Below are 14,814 nucleotides of genomic sequence, written 5' to 3' on the forward strand. Positions count from 1 at the left end.
CTCTGCCCCTGTTAGCCACACTAACCTGTGCATATGTTGAGAACACGCCTGCGGCAGGCCCTGTGGACAGGTGCTCTGGGGTAGCCATGGTCCTCCCTTGCCCTCAGAGCTGGGTCCTTTGTGGCAATGAATCATGCCTGCCCTGAATCCTTGCAGCAATTTCCTCCCTCAGCCAGGTGTTCGTCCAGGGTGTTATGTGACCTGATTTGGCCAGTGAGCTGGAAGAGGAGGCCAGCTTTTGCCTGGGAGATGGATGTTTTCACATGCGAGTGCGATGCTCAACCCTGCAGGGGTCATCTTGCCACAGTGAGTGACCTGAAGAGTCTCAGAGACACCAACACATTGTTGAACTGCTGACACAATTGTGGAATCCCTTACCACCACGCTTCTTGTTAAGTTTGGTGATAAATATCTATATTATTTAAGTAATTGTAAGTTAGAAACTCTGTTCAACACAGTGCCCACCTCACATTACTGTTATGGAGATTGAGTGAGGCTGTGGCCCTGACTGAGTGAGTTCTGATTGCTGAGTGCCGAGAAAAAGTGCCAAGGCTGGGCTGACCAGAACAGCTCTGGACTGCTTCACAGGACACGTCTGTGACAGAATGGCCTAACATTTCATCATTATGCTAACCCTCACAAAGATCTGTAAAGTACCTACTGTGTGAGGGTGGCCAAGTTTGACCTGAGTCAAGGATTCCTAACTTGACTAGAAGGTAACTCCATGTTTTATTAGGTTTGGGCTGTTATAACAAAGTACCATAAACTGGATGGCTTACAAACAACATAAATCTATTTCCCACAGTGCTAGAGGGTAGAAGTCTGAGATCAGGGCACCAACATGGGGCTCTCTTCTGGGTTGTAGACAGCTGATATGATTTGGCTGTGTCCCCACCCAAATCTCATCTTGAATTGTAGTTCCCATAATCCCCACATGTCATGGGAGGGACACTGTGGGAGGTAATTGAATCATGGGGGCAGTTACCCCCATGCTGTTCTCATGATAGTGAGTGAGTTCTCATGAGATCTGATGGCTTTATAAGAGGCTTTTCTGCCTTTGCTTGGCAGTTCTTCTTCCTGCCACCATGTGAAGAAGGATGTGTTTGCTTTCCCTCCCACCATGATTGTAAGTCTCCTAAGGCCTCCCCAGCCATGCTGAACATGAGTCAATTAAACCTCTTTCCTTTATAAATTAACCAGTCTTGGGTATGTCTTTATCAGCAACTTGAGAATGGACTAATACAACAGCCATCTTCTCTTTGTCTCCTCATATGACAGAAAGAGGGCAAGAGAGTTCTCTGGGGTCCCTTTTATAAGGGCATTAACCCCATTCATGAAGGCTCCACCCTCATGACCTAATCACCTTCAAAGGCCCCACCTCCTAACACCATCACACTGGGGGTTAGAATTTCAACACTTGAATTCTGGGGCAGGGGACAGGACACAAGTATTCAGTCCATAGCACCTCATGAAGGTATGTCTCTTCTAATGTTTCTTATTATTCTCCTCCCTTGCTCTCTTTTTATTCTTTTATTTTTATTTTTATGGTTTTGAGACAGACTCTTGCTCTGTTGCCCAAGCTGGAGTGCAGTGGCAAAATCTCGGCTCACTGCAACCTCCACCTCCCAGGTTCAAGTGATTCTCCTGCCTCCGCCTCCCAAGTAGCTGGGATTACAGGCACCTGCCACCACGCCCAGCAAATTTTTGTATTGTTAGTAGAGATGGGGTTTCACCATGTTGGCCAGGCTAGTCTTGAACTCCTGACCTCAAGTGATCCACCCGCCTTGGCCTCCCAAAGTGCTGGGATTACAGGTGTGAGCCACCGCACCTGGCTGCTCTCTTTTTATTAAAACCAAAACACCTTAAAAAGGTGGACATCAGAATGTAATGTTGAGCGCCAAAAGATAGGAAAAAAACAGTGTTTTCCCTACTCTCACTCACTATTCAATGCAATTCTGACACCAGATGTATAGAGTTTTTTCCCCGCACAAAACAAAAATCAGTTCTGCAGTGGACAGCAGCCCAGTGTTCTATAATTCAATTCAAGTCTGATCCTATCTACCTGGAGAAAGCATCTAATCCCACAGGTTGAGGGCTCAGTCCCACAGGACTGCCCCCACTGCAGATGCCAATCGCAAGCCCAAGTTATGGCCTGAGCTTCCGATGGACCAGCTATAGATTTTACAAGTCAGGGTTCCCAACACTCCCTCCTTGGGTTTGACTAATTTGCTAGAGTGATTCGCAGGACCCAGGGAAACACTTTACTTATGTTTACTTATTTATTTTAAAGGATGTTACAAAGGCTACAGATGAACAGCCAGGTGGAGAGATGCACAGGGCAAGGCAATGCAGGAAGAGCTCAGAGCCTCTGGGCCACCATCCCCCAAGAGCCTTCATGTGTTCAGCTCTCTGGAAGCTCCCTAAATTCAGTCCTTCTTGGTTTTTCTGGAGACTTCATTACATGGACATGATTGATTACAACATCATTAGTTGGTGACCAATTCAGTTCCTCCCTGCCCCATTGATGGAGGGCATGGCTGAGAGCCCCAACCGTCTAATCCTGCCTTGCTCTTTCTAGTGATCAGCCCCATCCTGAGGCTACCTGGGGACCCCAGCCACCAGTCATCTCACTAGCATACAAAAATACACTCTTACCACTCCAGAGATTCTAAGGTTTTTAGCAATTATATTTCAGAAAATGGGAGATGAAGACCAAACATATATTTCAGAATATCACAGGTGCCTTCCAAGTCCCAAGGCTCCAGCCAATGAGGCTATTTACAGGTGAGGATTGGGCCTCCCTGCAAAGGGGTCAAGGTACTCACGGGCTACTGGATAAGTGCCCACTTGCCCCCCAAGGGCTCCTGACTTCCTCCTGTGAACATAAATCTACTCTTGTCTAATGATAAGGGAATCATGCATAAATGTGCATTGGGTAACATGGGGCCGTAGGTGAACACTGGACTGACATTCATGAGCCCCAGGCTTGGTTGTTGTTTTATCAATAATAAACTGGGTCACTTTGGGAGGGTCCCACAGTGTCCCTGAAGCCCCTTTCTTCACTATAAAGTAACAGTCATATAACATAAATATGAGTATATGACCATAAAGTAACAGTCATTCCTTCACTATAAAGTAACAGTCATATAACATAAATATGAGTATATGACTATAAAGTTAACAGTCATATAACCAAATTCGTATCCGGCGAATTTGAAACTGACTCCATCATTTGCTGTAACTTTGAACTAGTTACAACTTCTTTTTTTTTTTTTTTTCTGAGATGGAGTTTCTTTCTGATTGTCCAAGCTTGAGTGCAATGGCACGATCTCGGCTCACTGCAACCTCAGCCTCCTGGGTTCAAGCGATTCTCCTGCCTCAGCCTCCTGAGTAGCTGGGATTACAGGAGCGCACCACCACACCCAGCCAATTTTTTGTATTTTTAGTAGCAATGAGGTTTCACCATGTTACCTGTGGCTGAACTCCTGACCTCAGGTTATCTGCCCGCCTCAGCCTCCCAAAGTGCTAGGACTACAGGTGTGAGCCACCGCGCCTGGCCTATATCTTTAACCTCCCAAAGCTTCCATTTTTCTTACATGTAAAGTAGGTGTGATCATAATCCTGACTTTGTAAGGTTTAGAAATAACTTATATAAATCATTAGCATTGGGCTATCCATGAAACAGGCACTTAAATAGCAGAAATTGTCATCACTTCCAGTTGTATGAGTCTTAGCCTTGTGACAAAATTGTGAAACAGGGCACTGCTATCACTTTTAGACTCAAGGATCACAGATGCCTTGCTCAGTGGGGCTGGAGAAGCAAACCAGTGATAAATTTGGTGCTGAGCTCGTGCAGCAAGACCCAGACCCCGTGCTGCTGTCCAGACCAACGTCCCCTCCTGAAGAAGTGAGTTTTAAAAAGACATCCAGGTTGGAGCCATAATTAGAAATGACTGAGAGCCTTAAGCGAAAACAGCAAGCTTTTACTAATCAATAACAGTCATTTCTTTCAGAGAGAAAAGACAGATTTCAAAAGACATTGGAATTGGAAATGCATCCAGGATCCTCGGCCTGAGTGCTGAGAAGGTGTGGAAGTGTAGCCTAACATTCCGAACTGGAAGCCGTCCCTCACTGCCAAGCAAGGTCACCACCAGGCAACTCCTCCCAACCTCCAACAATCCCCTCATTGGGAACCCTTAGCCTCTGCCCAGACACCCCAGGCCCAGTTTTCTCAAGAGACTTCTGGCATTTCGAAAGCAAACCATCTTTCACTTTTCTCTTCTGGATGAAAACTCTGATTTTTTAAAAAAGCTCCTTTTAAAGAGATTTCCATTGTGAACATCCTTACACCTGCACAAATGCACTCATCTGGCCAGTTGCTGTTCAGAATAACAGTGCCAGAGACAACACTCACCTACACTCCTCCACCTCTTGTCCTGTCTCCCTCCTCCCCCGACATTAGGTTGGGGCTGCATGACTAGTGTGGCCAAAGAAATCTGAGCAGCAGCTTCGGGCTTCCACCCAGGCTGAGGTCATTAAGAGCTAGTGTGGCTTCTCCATCTCTTTCTTTCCCTGTCCTGGAGGCCTCCATCTCTCTCATCCTCTACAGAGGAGTAGCTGCAAGAAAGCAGAGAGCCACCGAACCCACATCAGGCTTTGAGAGTGAGATCTAAACCTGAGACTTGAAGGTTTGTCTACTGTGGCCGCTACCATTAGTACCCGAACTAATAATGTAGGGTCAGTTTTCAGACAGCCCCTTTCACATTCTCAGAAGCAGATGCAATTTTCTATCCCATGCTCACGTCTCAAGCTTGTATGGAGCCTCCACTGTGTGCCAGGCACTACTGGGATGGGGATTAAGAAGGTGAGTAAATCCCTCCCCGGCCTTCCCTAAAGGATTGTGCCATCTATTAGGGCAAGACAGACACATAATGAGCTCACACTCCCGGACAGATCTGTCTCGATGGTGTGGGCAAAGTAATGATCTCTGAAGAACTGTCTCCCGGCTCTCGTTTCAGCAAATCCAGAGTAATCACGGGCGCTAACAGGAAATGTTAGTATCAGAGAGTGTACTTTCTTTGGTCAGGCATATTTTATTGAATCACATTCAATTAGGCTATTAATGGATTCTTTTTTTTTTTTTTTTTTTTTTTTTTTTTTTTTTTTTTTGAGACGGAGTCTCGCTCTGTCACCCAGGCTGGAGTGCCGTGGCGCGATCTTGGCTCACTCCAAGCTCCGCCTCCCGGGTTCACGCCATTCTCCTGCCTCAGCCTCCGGAGTAGCTGGGACTACAGGCACCCGCCACCACACCCGGCTAATTTTTTTGTATTTTTAGTAGAGACGGGGTTTCATCGTGTTAACCAGGATGGTCTCGATCACCTGACCTCGTGATCCGCCCGTCTCGGCCTCCCAAAGTGCTGGGATTACAGGCGTGAGCCACCGCGCCCGGCTATTAATGGATTCTTAATTCTTCATTTAATGAGCACATACTGACCCAGGCACATTCTTAGTGGAGATAGACCTCACCCCAGGAAAGACACAGTCAAGGAAAAGTTCAATAAGAAAATAAACTTCACAGGAAAGTGTTTGTTCTCTCAAGTTATGAAATAAAAAACAAAGCAGGCTTGAGGGGTCATTTGATACCTACTAGGTTGTAAAAAAAAGTATATACAGTTTTATACTGTAAAAAAAAATTATAAAACATCTTTGTTAGTTTGCTAGGGCTTCCATAACAAAATACCACAAACTGAGTGGCTTAAACAACAGAAATTTATTGTCTCACAATTCTGGAGGCCAGAAGCCCAAGATCAAGGTGAGGGCAGGGCTGGTTTCTTCTGAGGACTGAGGCAACCTCAGCCCCAGGCCTCTGTCTCCAGCTTCTGGGGCTTCACGGGCAGTCTCTGTGCTCCTCGGTTTATGGATGCTTCACCCCATCTCTGCCTTCATCTGCAAGTAGTGCCCTCCCTGTCTGTGCACCTGTCTCTGCGTCCAAATTTCCCCTTTTTTGTAAGGACAACAATCATATTGGATTAGGGCCCACCCTAATGATCTCATCTTATTTTGGTCATCTGCAAAAACCTTATTTCCAAATAAGGTCACATTGAAAAGTTCTGGTGGTTTAAGCTTCAACATCTTTAGAAGACACAATCAAATCCTAACAATACCGGCTCTGGCAATACTGAGTTGAAACTGGTCTGCTCACACAATGATGTCTGTAGCCGTAGAAATAGCTGTAAAATGTTAGGGAAGCAATATGGTAATGCGCAGCAGTAACTATCAAGATGAACAGCCTTTGGCCGAGAGGCCCCACTCCCAGGCATGTATCTCACACCTGCTGTGCAGGTCAAATCAGGATGTTAGTCTCCCCAGGGGTACATAGCAGTGAGTGGAAAGGACTCAGTGCTGTGGGTTACAAACATTTTTCCACACCCATCAATTTAATCATATTTCAATATATGTATATTTTATAGTCACCATTTATAGCCCTCCAATGTGCATTTTCTGTTGCTACTAGAACTTTGGTGGGAAAGTTTGAAAAGATCTGTCTTTGGGAAATAATTCAACATAAGCCAAAACCTCCAGATACAAAGATGATTACTGCAGCATTATTGCTATTCCCAAACTAGAAACAAGGACCCATTCCAGCTATTATTTGCCAAGCACCTTCTGTCTATCAGGCATTGTGCTAGGGCCTGGGGATGCAGTGGTAAAACATCATTCCTAGTCCCTATTTGCAAAGAGCCTGTGGCTTCCCATTGATGAATGTTTTAATACATTATATTCTTAACATATTAGTGTAACATGCAAGCACTAAATGGTAGCTAAGAAAAATGTAAATAACATTTAAAATTCATAAAGATTTAATTGAAGATGGCATATTATACTATAACTATTTGAAATATGCATGCTTCTTGACTTTTGTCTGTTTTGTTCACTTCTGTATCCCTGATGCTGAGAACAATACTTGGCATGTAGTAAGCGCTTAATAAGAATTTGGCATTGACCAAAATGGTGAAACCCCATCTCTACCAAAAATACAAAAATTAGCTGGGCATGGTGGCGCATGCCTGTAATCCCAGCTACTCAGGAGGCTGAGGCGGGAGAATCACTTGAACCCGGAAGGCAGATGTTGCAGTGAGCCGAGATCATGCCACTGCAATCCAGGCTGGGTGACAGAGCGAGACTCCGTATCAAAAAAAAAAAAAAAAAAAGAATTTGGTGAACTGAATTAATATACTAAGGACTGGGAGGTTATGCGCAAAATAAAAATTATAAAAAGAAGCCATTGTTGTACTCGGGTCATAGAATCATGAGTATGTTTTCTTCCTTTTTTCCAAAAAAGAATTTTATGCAGCTGTTACTACAGTTTGTTGAAAATAAGATAATAATTTTTTAAAAAACCTAGATGTGTCTAGTATTCATATATCAAAGGAATGCAAATCTTGAAAAATTGGAAAATAAAAGCACTATGGCTCTAGGATTTCCCCCTCCACCCCCCACCACCTCCGGGAGGCAGCCTTTGCAGGGTGCAGAGGTTAACGTGAGAAGTAATGAGCCCAAGCTAAGAAAGTGTCGGGGTCTCAAGGAAGGGCTGATTCTCCAGACATTCTCATCTTGCATGCCCAATTTCTCTGCCCCAATTTTCCTAATGTTGCTTTGGGTTCTGCCCCACCTTTTTTTTTCTTGCTCTTCTAAAAGAGGAGTGAGACTTGTTATCCCACGATGGAGTGACTTCCAGACAAGTTTAGAAAAGCCTATCTTGAATAAGGAGCTGGTATGGTCAATTAGTTGTGACAGGAAGATGGCATTGCTAACTGTCCTGGCAAATGATATGCCTGCACAAATAAAAACCAAAATGAGGCCAGGTGCGGTGGCTCACGCCTGTAATCCCAGCACTTTGGGAGACTGAGGCGGGCGGATCACGAGGTCAGGAGATCGAAACCATCCTGGCTAACACGGTGAAACCCTGTCTCTACTAAAAATATAAAAAAATTAGCCAGGCGTGGTGGTGGGTGCCTGTAGTCCCAGCTACTCGGGAGGCTGAGGCAGGAGAATGCCGTGAACCAAGGAGGCGGAGCTTGCAGTGAGCCGAGATCGCACCGCAGCACTCCAGCCTGGGTGACAGAGCGAGACTCCATCTAAAACAAAACAAAACAAAACAAAACAAACAAACAAAAAAAAACTCCCAGGTCCCATTGTCCCTCCCCAGTCAGTCAAATGGCCCAAGTCAGTAAGCTAGTGGTTCTCCTGGACAGCTTCCTCACTCCCTCCTGCCTGCCAACATACACATAACCAATCCTTCCCCTTGCCTTCCAGATTCTGCCTAAAAGAATATGTCCACTTTCTTCCACTCTCTTCACTCTACACCATCACCTGAATCCAAACAGCCCCAGAAACTCTCACCTGGATTTCTGCAACACCCACTAACTGGTCTCGCTGTTTCTACTATTGGCCTCTCTGATCCATTTGCTACACAATAGACAAAGATATAATTTTAAAAACAGAATCTAGATTATGTCACTCTCCTGCTCCATGTCACTGCCTTCAGTGTTGTTCATCTCACTTGGGATAAAATACAAAATCCTTAACAGGGATGCAAGGCATCTGTGTTCTGCCCCTGCCTGTCTCTCCAGCCCTTTTTCCTGCAGAACTGCCCCTCATGCACTTCGCTGGCTACACGGTCCTTTTCAGTCTCTCAAGTTGAGTCAAGCTCTCCTGTGTCTCTTCATAGAGGTTAGAAATCCCTGTTACACTTTCTAATAGGACTCAGGACTTTCATTTCATGCAGTTATCTAAATGCATAAATTTCTTGTTTGTGTGATTATTGGTTATTGGTTTAATATCTGTCTCTCCCATTAGCTTACAACCTCTATGAGGGCAGAGAACATGTCTGCTTTGTTCTCCATTGTATACCCACCCAATGCCTAGCAAGGTATCCGGCTCATGGTGAGCCCTCATCACATGTTTGTCAAATGAATGATTAAGTGAACAAACCCAGATATCAGTTATATCACAAGAAATATTTCCTGGTTATGCCCTTAATCTGTTGCATCCAAATTTATTCAAGAGTTACATGATGAAGAGCAAACAAAACACATAATTCTTTTGCTAAAGTGGAGGATGCATTCCAAGGACATACTTCTTGGTTTGACAGTTCATTTCTAGAGGCAGAAATATTGCAGGCAATCATCAGATGTAGCCCAAGGCAGCAGACAAGGGTTTATCTTGCAAACATCATGAAATACTTTATAAATTAGGCAATTTCAGTCTGCAAGAGATAAAGACATACTCAGCTTGTCTCAGTGGAGGTCTATCAGTTAGGATTCTTAATATTGCATGTGACAAAAGACCTAACTCAAGCTGCATTAAACAACAAAGAGGACGTATTGGCTTCATAACTGAAAAGTCTAGACACAGGACGTCCTTCTTCGGGAAAGGCATGATTCTGTGGCCTACTGATGTACCAGCGGACAAGTTCCTCTCTGTGGTTTACTTGCCAGCCATGCATTTCTTTGACCTTAGGTTGCACAAGGTCATTCAGGTTCTCCTTTCATGGAAACAAAAGGGCTGCAGCCACCCCACCCTCTCATCCTCATAACCCCTGAGCTAGAGAAGAGAGCATTTTTCTTCCAGAATCTTCTGCAGTGAGTCTCAAACCTGACTGATGAGCAGAATCACACGACAAGCTGATTTCTAGAGTCCCATGCCAGCATCTCCACCCAAACTTGGTGTATCTGGTATATGGCCTGAGAATCTTCAATTATTGAATATCCTTTACAGAAAACTCTAAAGGAGAAACCAAAATTGTCCCATAACTCCACCTTTCAGATGACACTTACTGAAGTTCTCCACTAAAACTAATCAATGCACAAAGTAGGAAGTAGGAAAATCAAGCAGTACTGAATGAAAGGTAAGAACCTCTCTTCTCATCCTTCCCTCAAAGTTGCCACTGTTATCAGCTTCTTGTAGATTTTCCATTGAAAAAGAATTTGTGCATTTACCAAAGTATATGGTGTGTCATTTTAAAAGTTATGTGGAAAATGGATTACACCATTTATACTGCTCTGCTGCTTGATTTTTTCATTGCACAACATAACTCAGAGACTGCTCTATATCAGCAAATGGAGTTCCTACTAAATCTCTTTAAAAGATCTAAGAGTGTGCCACAGTTTATTTATCCAGGTTCCTATTGATGGACATTGAGGTTGTTTGCTATACAAATAATGCTGCTGTGGGCATCCATTCTTGCCGACGTTGATACTCTTCTGTGGGAAATTTCAGAATCAGCTCCCATCAGTAGAATTGCTGGGTCAAAGGTTACTCATGTTTTAAAAATGTTGATGTATGTTGACAAAATTCCTTTAGTTGAAATTTACTAGTCTGGTCTCTATTACCATTTCGAACTTCACAAATTGTGCCCTTAGTTACACGCGGGTGCCTTATGGCAGTATGGGATGGGGGCGCAGAGAATCTATGTTTTTAAAAGTTCATCATGTGATTCAGAAGCTCATGCAGGTGTGAGAACCACCGCCCCACCTTGTCACACAGGTGCCAAAATCCACCAAGTTTGCATTCACTGGCATCTGCTTCCATACTCTCATCAGCAATGGGCATCATGAAACTTTATAATTTTTGCTAATCAGATTCATGAAAAGTGGTCTGGCATTGTTCTGATTTGCGTCTCTTTATTTCTGAGGAAGGATGAGCAGCTCTTCATATGTTTCTTGGTCACTGGTATTTCTTTTCCATGTTCTGCCAGTTCAGATTCCTGGCCCAGCATTTATTGAGTTGTTTGTATATTTCTTATTTATAGACATTTGTTGCAAATTAAAGAAATTAGTGTGTCTTCCATCTATATTCCAAATACTGTTTTCCCCTTGTTTATAATTTCTTCTGACTGATTCATGAGTTTGTTTGTTTGTTTAGCTTTACAGAAGGATTTTGCTTCATTCTGTTTTAATATGGTGATATTTTTAAATCTTTGGTCTTTATGGTTTCTGGAGGAATCAAGTTTTTAAAACTCCCCAGGTGATTCTGATGAGTTTGAGAGTCACTGTCTTACAGGATATAAATAAGGAACCGAATACAGTCCCTACCCTTTGGGGTTTACAACTGTATGGGAGAAAGACGAGCTTATACATAAAAGAGAACAAGAGATAAAGGGCACTGCGAAGTTTCAAATGAGCCATGCAGATTCTTGGCTTGGCATCAAGAGCCTGCCCACTCCACGCTCCTCTCCTCAGCACCCTTTCCTCTCAGATCCTCGTGGAGGTGAGTGGGAGATCCCATCAGGCAGCAGAAGGCAGAGAAAAGCCAGCCACACAGTGGAGGGGAGGTGGCCAGGCCAGGGCGGCAGCGTAGAACAGTGGAAGCGAAGCCTTCAGGCCCGAGAGAACAGGCTCCTGGTCTCAGAGTGCTCTTAGAGGCCATCGTCCCCCTCCTACCTCCAGGGCCCGGGAGGCCTGGCTGCAGGGGTGGCCCTGCCCTCTTCTGGACAAGCCATGAGGTAGAGTCCTTTCCTCCTCTATCTTGCCCAACCTTAGAAAATCAAGTAAATAAATAAAAGGAACACTTGAGTCAGTTTTTGCTTTGTTCCATTAGAAATTCTGAGAAAAGCTAGATTTCCATGGGCTTCAGTGGGGAGAGGAGAGCATAAAGTTTCATGAAGGGAACCAAGCAGAGTTCCAGCATGGGGCCTCTGGAGGGAAGGAACTGGTTCTCACTCAACCCTGTTTCCCTCACAGCTTCTAGAACAGGGTCCTAGATTAGATATACTGCGTCCTGAATGAATGAATCAATCAATGGGAATGTATTCGAGCTGGGCGTGGAAAGACTAAGGATAAGGACCATTTCTTTATTTTCCTAGTGAACAAGAGTGCCTGATACACAGTAAGTACCTAATAGTGTTGATGTTATCAGGGGAGGTGAGGATGATGGTGTGAGCAAAGGTGCAACATTAAGAACACAAAAATCACATTCACAGGACAGTGAGGGTAGCTTATTTCATGAAAGATTCTGTGAAGAAATTAGACACAGAAAAACAAGTTGGGAGCCTCAAATGCCAGGTAAGGAAGGTGGAGTTCTATCTGTCTACAGGTAGAGTCACTGATGACTGTGTTCAGGCCACGACATGGTTAAAATCAGTGTTTTAGGAAGACTTGTTTGGTGGCATAAAGCAGGATGGATTAGAAGTTAGAAGGAAATTCAAAAACACATTTGCTCATTATCTTCTTCTTCAAAAAATGTAGTCATATTCAGTACATTAAAATAATCCAATAATATTGATTCAATTATGAATCCAATATCTGATTATGAAACATAATAATAAACCCACCATCCCACGTGAGACCTAGAGCCTTGCCAATACTACCAAAGATGCCTGTGCCTGATACCCTTTGGTTTGGGTGTGATTTCTACACAAATCCATTGGATTGACTTTCTTCCCTCCATCTGATTCTAGTCTCCCTGAGGTCCAAGAACACCTTCCAATTCCAGCTCCATCGTACCTGGAGTCCTCCCACCCCAGCATTCAGGATGAAATAGAGGTAAGATGAGAATGAACATGCGATGATGAATAACAGATCACTCAAGATTTTGAAATTTATAAGTAAAATTATTTTCTACAGTTTTAATTATGGTGACTCATGCAATTTTGGTGTAATTAGCCTTTTATTCTTACTCATTTTAATTATGAAATAAATATGCAAATTTATGCTAATAGTATAGTTAAGGAAATTATCCATTGCATTTGAGGAAGCACTCAGGCAAATTTTAAAATGGGATCATAGTTCTGACAGTTACAGAAATGGACATGAAAACAACAGGCAGAGTTCCCTGAATACACAGTGAACATGGCCCTAGAAATAGAGCTTTCATGAGACGTTCCGAGAGAAATGAATGTTTTCCCGTCCATTCCTGCTGGGCCTCCTAGATTCAGATCCAAGCCTGTATCTCTGGGTCTGCTTGTGTGCTAAAGCTCCCAAGGATATGAGCTGAGCCAGATCACCTTTATTCCCAGGGTTTCCAGAAACACAAGGGGCAACGTGACTGTTGTCTAACTATCAGTTACCGTGTACTTCTTCTGTGCGCTGGTGTTCCGTAATCCCCCTGAAGCTGCGATGCCTGCAGTCAAGACTCAACCAATGGTGGAGTCAAGAATCACCACCCAGCAACAAGAGTCATTGCAAAATAACTGAAGTTCCTTATATGCGTTCTTAAATGCTGAAACAGAGACACATGGCCCACAGAAATACTTCCTTAAATTTCCTTCCCTTTCCACCTATTGTCCTCATACTCCAGCACCTCTCTCCTCAAGATTTCCTGAAGAACTCCTCCCCAGCCATAGCCCAAGTAAGCAGAGAGGCATTCTGACCATGGCGGCCCCCTTCCCAGGGCAGCAGAGGGCGAGTCAGCTGAGATGCCAAGCCTTCTCTGATGGGCAGGGGAGCGAGGCCCGGGAACCCTCATGCACGACTCATTGTCATTGCATCCTCACTGTTGAATTTCCTGGATGTGTCAGACCATGAGCCTTGGCAGTGGAGAAACCAGGCATCTGCAGGCAGAAGCCCAGCCATAGAATAGCAAGTCACACAGGCCTGTATTGCCCGGCAATGCAACACGTGTAAGTGGCTGCGGGACTCCCTGCACTCAGCACCAGTGATGAAATCTGTCAGCAGAGATGTAAAGAATCATGTGATCTGGCCGGGGGCGGTGGCTTATGCTTGTAATCCCAGGGCTTCAGGAGGCTGAGGCAGGAGGATTGCTTGAGGCTAGGAGTTTGAAACCAGCGTGGGCAACACAGTGAGATCCCATCTCTACAAAACATTTAAAAATTAGCATGACATGGTGGTGTACACCCATAGTCCCAGTTACTCAGGAGGCTGAGGCAGGAGGATCACTTGAGCCTAGGAGTTCAAGGCTCCAGTGAGCCGTGACGGCACCACTGCACTTCAGCCTGGGCAACCGAACAAGATCTTAACTTTTTTTTTTTAAAAAAGGAAGTGGGGAATCATCAGATATAAATAAATGGTAAGGTTATAAACCCAAGCATCACCAGCAGCTACCACTTTTAATAAATCTGAGAAAAATATCCCCCTTTGCTGACTCAGAGCCATGCCCAGGTTGTCTTTAGCTGTGGCCACGTCTCCCAGCCACCCACATTGCTGCCATCTCTGGGGTTGTGCCCCTCCCTCCTCACTGCGCCCTATTAAAACAATCATCTATAAAGCCACAAAGTGAGGGCTCAGACTAAACCTTGAATACATCCTTGTGAATGCATGGGCTGGCCTCCAAGGCAGCCCTGTCCCCTGCTATGACTCTGCCCACCCCATAGCTCCTACCCTCCACCGTGTTTCCTGGGTCCATTTTTGCAGCTGGGACAGAGAGGGGCAGCTCCAAGTGAGACGGGAAGGTCAAGGGGGCTGTGAAAAGAGACTCCCTCCTTCACACCTGAGGATCTGATCTTACCCAGATTGTTTTTTCCTCACAGAGAAACTCCTCTGGCCCAGTTTCCCATATTGATCTAATCAGCAGTCCAAACATAATTTTGGGACTGTCAAAACAAGACCCGCAGGCCTGACATAGACAATTAACATAAGTCAGGGCAACCCACCTGCCACTTCCCGTCTCTCCCCGACGTCTCGTCAGGATGTTAGCAAAGCCAGTACCCGTTACGGGTGGCAGTATCACCAGGAGCACGCTGTTGAGCAGGGGACTCCTGACATGAGGCTGGAAGCTATAATTACCCGGTGTATAATTTGGTTGCTAAATGGATTGTTGACAAAGGTGTGCATGATGAAATCACAGGCATGTTAG

The 14,814-nt window shown here is 44.6% G+C and overlaps 1 long non-coding RNA gene across 1 annotated transcript; it reads right to left on the reverse strand.

Moving 5' to 3' along the window:
* Positions 1-9,020: 9,020 nt before the first annotated feature.
* Positions 9,021-14,718, reverse strand: LINC00365 (long intergenic non-protein coding RNA 365). The gene is made up of 2 exons (NR_046998.1): positions 14,612-14,718; positions 9,021-11,538 (listed from the first exon to the last, which is right to left on the reverse strand). It is a non-coding gene; the product is annotated as a long intergenic non-protein coding RNA 365 (long non-coding RNA).
* Between the last annotated feature and the right edge of the window lie 96 nt (positions 14,719-14,814).

Source organism: Homo sapiens, chromosome 13 (assembly GCF_000001405.40).
Source record: "Homo sapiens chromosome 13, GRCh38.p14 Primary Assembly".
NCBI classification, from domain to species: domain Eukaryota; kingdom Metazoa; phylum Chordata; class Mammalia; order Primates; family Hominidae; genus Homo; species Homo sapiens.